At 36.2% G+C, this 9,457-nt stretch overlaps 1 annotated feature.

Annotated features, from left to right (window-relative positions):
* Positions 6,546-7,745: an enhancer, noted in NCBI's record as "MED14-independent group 3 enhancer chr1:98789036-98790235 (GRCh37/hg19 assembly coordinates)". NCBI's record gives its function as "activates an origin of replication core promoter dependent on BRD2, BRD4, P300/CBP and CDK7 cofactors, and independent of MED14, by STARR-seq in HCT116 cells {active_cell/tissue: HCT116}" and the evidence as "EXISTENCE:reporter gene assay evidence [ECO:0000049][PMID:35650434]".

The raw sequence follows: 9,457 nt of genomic DNA on the forward strand, positions 1-9,457 counted from the left end.
CTATTGTTTTTCTAGGTTTTGCTTCAGAGCTCTCATTTCATTTCAAATCTATCTTCGTTTTTGTTATTCTTTTAACACAGCCAACACTTCTTACTGTCTGAGGATGTTTGCATTTGAGTGTCACAGATTTAACCCAAACAAAACCTGTCAAAAACAAAATCATCATTTTCCTGTCTATTCATACTCTAATAGTCCCTTATAGCTTTTGCCCGCTTATCATAAGATATATATATATAGATATATATATATACATACACACACACATACACACACACACACACACACATACATGTATGTATATGTATATACTCTAATTTGAATTCAAATTCTCCTTTCTTCAAGCCAGTTACCAAGTCCTGTAGATGTATTGCTTATATTCCACCCCCTCTTTTTTTTTTTTTTTTTTTTTGAGACGGAGTCTCGCTCTGTTGCCCAGGCCAGACTGCGGACTGCAGTGGCGCAATCTCGGCTCACTGCAAGCTCCGCTTCCCGGGTTCACGCCATTCTCCTGCCTCAGCCTCCCGAGTAGCTGGGACTACAGGCGCCCGCCACCGCGCCCGGCTAATTTTTTGTATTTTTAGTAGAGACGGGGTTTCACCTTGTTAGCCAGGATGGTCTCGATCTCCTGACCTCATGATCCACCCGCCTCGGCCTCCCAAAGTGCTGGGATTACAGGCGTGAGCCACCGCGCCCGGCCCTCCACCCCCTCTTTTTCCCATGTTTAACAACTGCCACTTTAGTGAAGGCCCTTACCGGTTCAGACCTGGAAAACTGCAAAACCTCCAATGTACTCTTCCTGATCCTTAACGCCTGGTACACTGCTTTCGGATTAATCTTTTTAACATACAATTTCCATGATATCACTATAGTGCTCTAAAATATTTAGAGGTTCTCCATTACTTAAAGAACAAAATGCAAATGCTTTACCTGCTTAAGAGATCTGACTCCTACTTTTGCTACCTCTTCTTCCACCATCATGTCCAATGAATGTGAAAGTCATGCAGGATAGTGGAAGAAGCATTAGAGTAGGAATTAAAAGAAGTGGATTATATTATTTACTCAGTCTCTAACTGGTTTGTAATCATTGTCAAATAATATAACTTATCTGATATTCAGACTTATTCATAATATGAAAGGATGGACCAAGAATAATGATGATAGTACATGTAATTCCTCCTCAGTCTTAAATTCTATGATAGAAAGAGTTACAATTCTACCCATTATTCTAAGAATCCCTTATTTATTCTACCTTTACAGTGTTTTGTCCACACTTTATACCATAGCACCTGCCACTTTCTTCACTTGAAATGTCTATTTCCTATCTGAATAATGCCTCTCTTTTAAGGTCTGTCTTAAGTTTTAGTATATCCATATGAAAGCTCTCTAGATTACCACAATGGACCCTCCATTTCCTGAACTTTGCCATGTTTTTAGCACTTATTTTTCATAGCACTGGTTTTCCACCCCTATATCTCTTTTAATATACATGACAGATAATATTTAACATGTTTCCATATCTTTACCACTCCCTAGTATATCTTGACAATTATATTTTGGTATTTTATGCTATTTGATTATTATACCCAGTATCTATGTAAAGCCCAAAGGATTATTTAATAAATCTCTCAGTCACCAGGGTTACTTGTTTTCGTAGACAATAAATTTGATCATAGTTGGCCTCAGCCATAGCTCTCTATCCAGTTGCACTGCTTTTGTTCTTCTCTCTTTTAGGTGGGCTTGAATTTGTGATAGTCAACATGTATTGCATCAGTAGTGACCGCTGGAGTTTTGTGTTAGGGAGGATTCTGAAGTTACCTCTGGGCTCAGAAAAATTCCCATGATAGATTAGCAGTTTCTCATCTGGCATGGAGGTGGGAAGGGGCACCATAATTGCCATTCCCGTACTAGGCTCTAGCCTTCAATGTTTTACTGTCCTAATATGTAGCATTGTCTAAAAGGCAATAGGATAACGTAGAAAGGGCTTTGGAACTAAAATCCTAAAGTCTGGCCTGGCTAATATACTAACCAGCCCTACCACCACCATTGCAAGACTTGGGTAACTAACAATTTTTTTTTTTTTTGTAATTTTCAGCTTCTTGATTGTAAAATGGAGATTTTGTGTACAACACTGGCCACCATATAAGATTACTGAGTATCACTTAAAATAATATTTGTGAAACTATTCTGTAAATCAAGGACATAAAATGTCAGGCATTACATCAACAGGCTAAAAATGAAAAAGCACACAATCATATCAGTAGATGCAGAAAAAACATTTGATAAAAGTAGGCACCTATTCATGATAAATACTTTCAGTAAACTAGGGTTAGAGGGCGCAATGGTTAATACTGAGTGTCAACTTGATTGGATTGAAGCATACAAAGTATTGATCCTGGGTGTGTCTGTGAGGGTGTTGCCAAAGGAGATTAACATTTGAGTCAGGGGGCTGGGAAAGGCAGACCCACCCTTAATCAGTGGGCACAATCTAATCAGCTGCCAGCCCAGCTAGAATGTAAGCAGGCAGAAAAATGTGAAAAGGGAGACTGGCCTAGCCTCCCAGCCTACATCTTTCTCCTGTGCTGGATGCTTCCTGCCCTTGAACATCAGACTCCAAGTTCTTCAGTTTTGAAACCCGGACTGGCTCTCCTTGCTCCTCAGCCTGCAGACGGCCTATTGTGGGAACCTGTGAGTTAATATTTAATAAGCTCATATATATATATATATATATATATATGTATCCATTCCATTAGTTCTGTCCCTTACCCTAATGAATACAGAGAGAAGCTTCCTTAGGTAGATTAAAATAAAACAACCTACAGATAACCTCATACTTAATGGTAAGAAACGAGAAGCTTTCCCAGTAAGATTAGGAATAAGGCAAAGATATCCCCTTCCCATCACTCCTTTTCAACGTCATACTAGATGTCCTAAAACAAGAAATGCACTAAAACAAGAAAAGGTGCATGCACTAAAACAAGAAAAGGTGCATGCACTAAAACAAGAAAAGGAAATAAAAGATATATGAATTGGGAAGAAAGAAATAAAACTCTTTTGGTCTTTGACACTATAATCTATGTAGGAAATGCAAAAGATTGGACAAAAAAACTCCTTGAACTAAAAAGCAATAATAGTAGGATTGCAGGATTCAAGGTTAATATAAAACTTCAATTGATTTTTTATACACCAGCAATGAACAAGTGGAATTTGAAATTAAAAACACAATACTATTTACACTAGCATCCCCAAAACTGAAATACTTACATATACATCTAACAAAAATATGTACAAGATCTATGTGAGGAAAACTATAAAGCTCTGATGAATGAAATCAAAGAACTACATGAATTGAGAGATAATCCATATTCATGGAAAGGAAGATTCAATATTATCAAAATGTCAGTTTTTCCCAACTCGATCTATAGCTTCAATGCCATCTCAATAAAAATTTCAGAAACTTATTTTGGAAATATTTGTAAACTGATTCTAAAGTTTATTTGGAGAGGTAAAAGACCCAGAATAGCCAGCGGAATATTGAAGGAGAAGAACAACATTGGTAGAACAACATGATCAATCTCAAAACTTACTATAAAGCTACATTAATCAAGTCAGTGTGGTACTGATGAAAAAATAAACAAATGAAAATACATCAATGAAACAGAATACGGAGATCAGAATTAGACCATCATAAATATTGTCAACTTATCTTTGACAAAGAAGCAAAGGCAATACAATGGAGCAAAGACAGTCTTTTCCACAAATGCTGCTGGATGAAAAACCAAAACCAAACAAACAAACAAACAAAAAACGAAAAAAGAAACAAAGAAAGAAATAGAAAAAGAAAAAAGAGAGAATCTGGCCACAGACCTTACATCTTTCACAAAAATTAAATCAAAATCGATCATAGACCTAAATATACAATGTAAAACTATAACACACCTAGAAGACAACAGAGGAGAAAACCTAGATGAACATGGATATGGTGATGACTTTTTAGAAACAATACCAAAGGTATAATCCATGAAAGGAAGAATTAATAAGATGGATTTCATTAAAATTAAAAGCTTCTGCTCTATGAAAGATGTCAAGAGAATGAGAAGTCAAGCCACAGGTTGGAAGATAATACAGTCAGGTATCACTTGACAATGGGGAAACATTCTGAGAAATGTGTCGTTAGGTGATTACGTTGTTGTGCCCACATCATAGAGTGTACTTACATGAACCTAATGATACAGCTTACCACATACTTAGCCTGTATATTATAGACTATTGCCTCTGTGCTACAAACCTGTACAGAAGTTACTGCACCGTAGGCAACTGTAACACAATGGTAAGTATTTATGTATCTAAATGAATCTAAACATAAAAATGTACAGTAAAATTGTAAGTCAATGAGAGAAGTGGTATGTGCTATATATACTTTTATATGACTAGAAGTAGGTTTGTTTACACCAGCATATGAGTAATGCATTGCATTATGATATAATGCATTGCACTATTGATGACCATAATGTCACTGGACAATAGATATTTTTCCACTCCATTATAACTTTATGGGACGACTGTTTTATATGCAGTCTGTCATTGACTGAAACATCATTATGTTGTATGTCACTGTAATTACATAAGGTGCTTCTAATAAAGGACTGTTATTCAAAAACACAAAGATTTCATAAAGCTCAACAATAAAAAACAAACAACCCAATGTGAAAGTAAGCCAAAGACTTTAACAGATACCTCACCAAAGAAGATATACAGATGGCAAATAACCATATGAAAATATGTTCCACATCATATGTCATTAGGGAAATGCAAATTAAAGCAATAGTAAGATACTATTAAATACCTCTTAGAATCCCCCAAATTTGGAAGACTGACAACACCAAATGCTGGTGATGTAGAGCAACAGGAACTCTCATTCATTAATGGTGGGAATGCAAAGTAGTACAGACACTTGGGAAGACAATTTGGTTGTTTCTTATAAAACTGAAGATACTCTTACCATATGATCAGCTGTTTGGTATTTACCCAAAAAGTTTAAAACTAATGTCCACACAAAACCTGCACTTTATTGTTTTAAGAGCTATGTTCATAATTGCCAAAACTTGGAAGAAGCAAGATGTCTTGCAGTATATAAATGGATAAATTAACTGTGGTACATCCAGACAATGGAGCATTACTCAGTGCTAAAAAGAAATAATATCTATTAGGCCATGAAAAGACATGGAAGACCTTAAATGCATATTATTAGTGAAAGAAGCCAACCAAAAAGAGCTTCATACTATATAATCCAACTATGTGACATTCTGGAAAAGGCAAAACTATGAATACAGTAAAAAGATCAGTGGTTGCCAGGAGGGAGGCAGTGGGGGGTGGGGGGACGGTGTGAATCAGCAGAGCACAGAAGATTTTCAGGGCAGTGAAAATACAGCATCTGTATGATACTGTAATGATGGATACATGTTATTATACATTTGCTCAAAGCCATAGAATGGACACCAAAAGCAAACACTAATACAAACTTTTGACCTGGGTGATTCTGATGTGTCAATATAATTTTATCAATTATAACAAATGTTTGCTAATACAAACTTTTGACTTGGGTCATTCTGATGTGTCAATATAATTTTATCAATTATAACAAATGCACAGGAGATGTTGATAATAGAGTAGGCTATGCATATGTGGGGGCAAAGGGTACATGGAAACTCTCTGAGCCTTCCTCTCAATTTTACTGTGAACTGACAACAGCTTTTAAAAAAATAGTCTTTCAATATGAAAAAAGTCAGGGATTTCCATTTTTGCCTTGTCACAGAAAATTTAAAAAACAGGGGCAAGAGACAATCATAATCTTGCAATCTCAGTAAAGCAATACTAACATATCAATGCATTTCCTTTCCCTTGCTTTCCCATCTATCTTTTTACAAACTGGTTGTAATCATGTTAAATATATTTTACCCTGGTTTTTAATTTAACGTCATATCCTAAGTAGTTTCTCTGTTTCCACATGATTTAAAAAAAAAAATCAGTTTAATATAACATAATAATTTACTGGATATGCCATAAGTCTCTGAAATAATCCCTGCTGTTCCTATTACAACTGTAAATATATCTCTTCTCTGTTTTTTCTTGCTTCTGAAATTAAGCTGATTATTTGGTATAAATTCATGCAATCCAGAAATGCCACATTCAATCATGCATTCCACATACATTATTGACTACTTGATGCCAAGTACTGAGTTAGTCTCTAGGTATGTAGTGGTAGACAGAAAAGTTATTGCCCCGGCCTTATAAAAATGTATAATCTAGTGGGGGAAGGCAGGAACAGGTATTTTAAAAATGGATACAAATAATTATATATTTCTGAACTATGATAATGTTATGAATGAAAAAGCATGGTGCTTTGAGAAAAAACACTTGGAGAATTGGAGGGGGACACCCATTTTAATTGTGTGTTCAGAGAATACTTTTCTGAGAATGTGGCATTTCCAAATGATTAAAGGCAGCTAGCATAATAGAAATCTGAGGAAATATGATTCCAGATAGAGCAAACTATATGTGCCAAGGCCTGAAGCAGAAATGTGCTTACAGGGTTTCAGGAATGAAGCAAGAGGAAACCAGTGTGACTGGAGAGGGAGTGTCCTGAGATGAGGCTGGGGTGAGATCATGTTGGGCATTGTGTTGTCATGAAATTTGGATTTGATTTTATAGGAAATGAGATTTGATAGACCTTGAAGAGGGCAGAGGCATAATTGCTTTTATGAGAATGGTTGGAGACCTGCAAGAGTGAATGAAGACAGAAAGATTAAACAATGCAGAGTCCAGATGGGGGAAAATGGAGGCTTTTGCTAGAAAGTAGAAGTAGAGATGGAAAAGAAAAGATGAATTCAAAACATGCTTTGGAGGTAGACTTGATAGAAATGTATTTGATTGGAAGTAGGGGTAAAGAAAACGGTAATTCCAAGAATGACCCATATACAAACTGTGGTGGCTTTGTAACATGCCACTTTGGCTAGGCTGAATTACATTTCTGGTGAGGGTGGGCCACGGAGAAATTCTTGCAAGATTTGGAAGGCAGGAAGGAAGTCTCAGCTATTTTGTGGTTCACACGCCTTGTCGCTTATCTGCTGATTCACCACCTTGGAATGAGGCAGCAGCTGAGCCTGCAACTGTTCAACTTTCCTCTAAACTTTCCTTCAGCTTCTCCAACTTTTGGACCAATTCTATAGCACCATGATGAAGGGCCTTTGCTTCTGCAGGTCACCCATACCACCAAAGCCAATAAATGTGGTTTTGCTCTGTTCTGAGGAGTTTCAGTTCATGCCTGTGGGTTCCAGCTCTTTCTTAATATCCTTGTATTACATCATGTTCTCTTTTTCACTGTCTGCCCTCTGGACTTCATGCCCAAGCAGCAGACACAAAGACAGCAGCCTTACGGAAAGTGTTTAGCCCCCACAATGGTATCAGGCAAAATCCCTGTAACAGACTTGTCTGTTACTGACTTGACTGATCATAAATGAAAGTAACGTGTTTCCAACATTTTGCAGAAAAGTCGCATGATTATTAGTAGTATAATACTTATTGCTATGTTCACAATGGCTTGTGTTCAATACTACTCATCTTCATTTTTGTTGACAAGTGTCATGTACAAGGATAAAATTTTTGCTGAAATCATACCTTTTTCTAAGAAGTCTATGCTGCTTTAATTTAGCTCACTGAGTTGTTCCTTAAAATGATTTTTCTTAATCTATTGGTCTGACTATAAGCAACTTATTCTTTAAGTCTAATAAAGAGAGATTGAGTGTACCTATTTTCTTTATTTATGAATTATACTTACATAGAAATCTATCTGCTCATTACAAGACTATTGGTTAAGATAGGTATAATCACGACTGTCACAAAAATGTTATTCAAAGTTCCATCATGATCATAGAACCTCATACCTCATCTTGAAATTTTGAGGGATACAAAATTAAGACAGTAAGAGAGGAGAGAGTGACAGAGACATACAAACAAAAAGAGAAAATAAAGAGAAAGAGAAAGTGAATGAGAGACAGAAATGTGCTTTTAAAGAAGTTAAGATAATAGTAACTCTGAGTTGCTCCAGAGGAAAGGAATACAAATTTCTCTGTATTAGAGGGATTTTCTGTTTTTGGGAAAAGAAGTCTTAATTTTGGCTTGAATATAGAATCAAGCCATTTTAGTCATTTTATTTGAATTAAGACTTTCAAGTTCTGAAAGCTATCAAGATAAACTTAATGTCATTACAAAATAGTGAAAATACAATAATTGCAAAGTGTAATTTCAGTGAAGCCAGTACTGCTGCTGGAGGTTCTGGATAAATGTCCCTTACACACAGGGTGTAGAAAAGGTTGGGACTGACTGAAAGTGTCTGGAGAAAATGGGAATGCTGCCTATGATGTACTCATTAGTGGAACAGGTCTGCCATTGTTTCTGAGAAGAAAATGGAGACTGAAGGCAATGTTATTCTGAAATTACCTAAATAACTAAAATTATGAAAATATACATAAATAAAAGTTAAAAAATCAATTATTTGAATTATTTAGGAAAAGGAATCAGGCCTGAGTTGGTATCAGTTGAGCCCAATCGCTTAAGTATGATTTTAAGGAGGCTTTTGCAATGTTCAAATGCATTGATTTGTTATTCAACTCTACTTCTCTTTCCATAGGTAAATAAACTTTCTGCCTCATGACTCCTTCCCTTCTTCCTTCTTTTTCAAATGCTCAAATCTGCTGTAGAGTAAGTAAATCTTCTATTGGCAATGAGTCCCACAAAGAAATAATGTCTTCGTTTGTTCAGGTATCATGTTTTGACAAGAAGAATCTTGCTGTTCCGTTATTTTCTAATCTTAACTGGATTCAACCTGTTAGTCATTAAACTCCCTAGCAGATGGAAAGAATAGTCTGTAGTGGTAGTTCCCCAAACACCGTGACTTCAAGGGGTCTGATCATCCAGATAGATATCAAACAGTACTTATATACTGAAAAAATGACACTTCATATATATGTACTATGTTTCATATGTATGCAGATACTAATTGATTGATAAATTAGAAATTTGTTTAAAAACATTCCCGAATTTAAACTACTTTTTTGGGCACTTAGTCACTCTAAAGTAAAAATGTAATTTCCATTATACGTGATTGCTCGGTTTTAAAATGCTGCCTTTTTCTTTTGATGTACTTTTTATTTTTTGTCAAAACAAGGGGCTGGGCATGGTGACTCATGCTTGTATTCCCAGAGCTTTGTGAGGCTGAGGCAGGAGGATGGCTTGGGGCCAGGAGTTTGAGACTAGCTTGGGCAACATAGTGAGACACTGTCTCTAGAAAAAAATTTAAAAATTAACCAGGCATGGTGGCACATGCCTGTAGTTCCAGCTACTTAGGAGCCTGAGGCGGGAATATTGCTTGAGCTCAGGAATTAGCAGTTACAGTGAGCTA

This window comes from Homo sapiens, chromosome 1 (assembly GCF_000001405.40).
Source record: "Homo sapiens chromosome 1, GRCh38.p14 Primary Assembly".
NCBI classification, from domain to species: domain Eukaryota; kingdom Metazoa; phylum Chordata; class Mammalia; order Primates; family Hominidae; genus Homo; species Homo sapiens.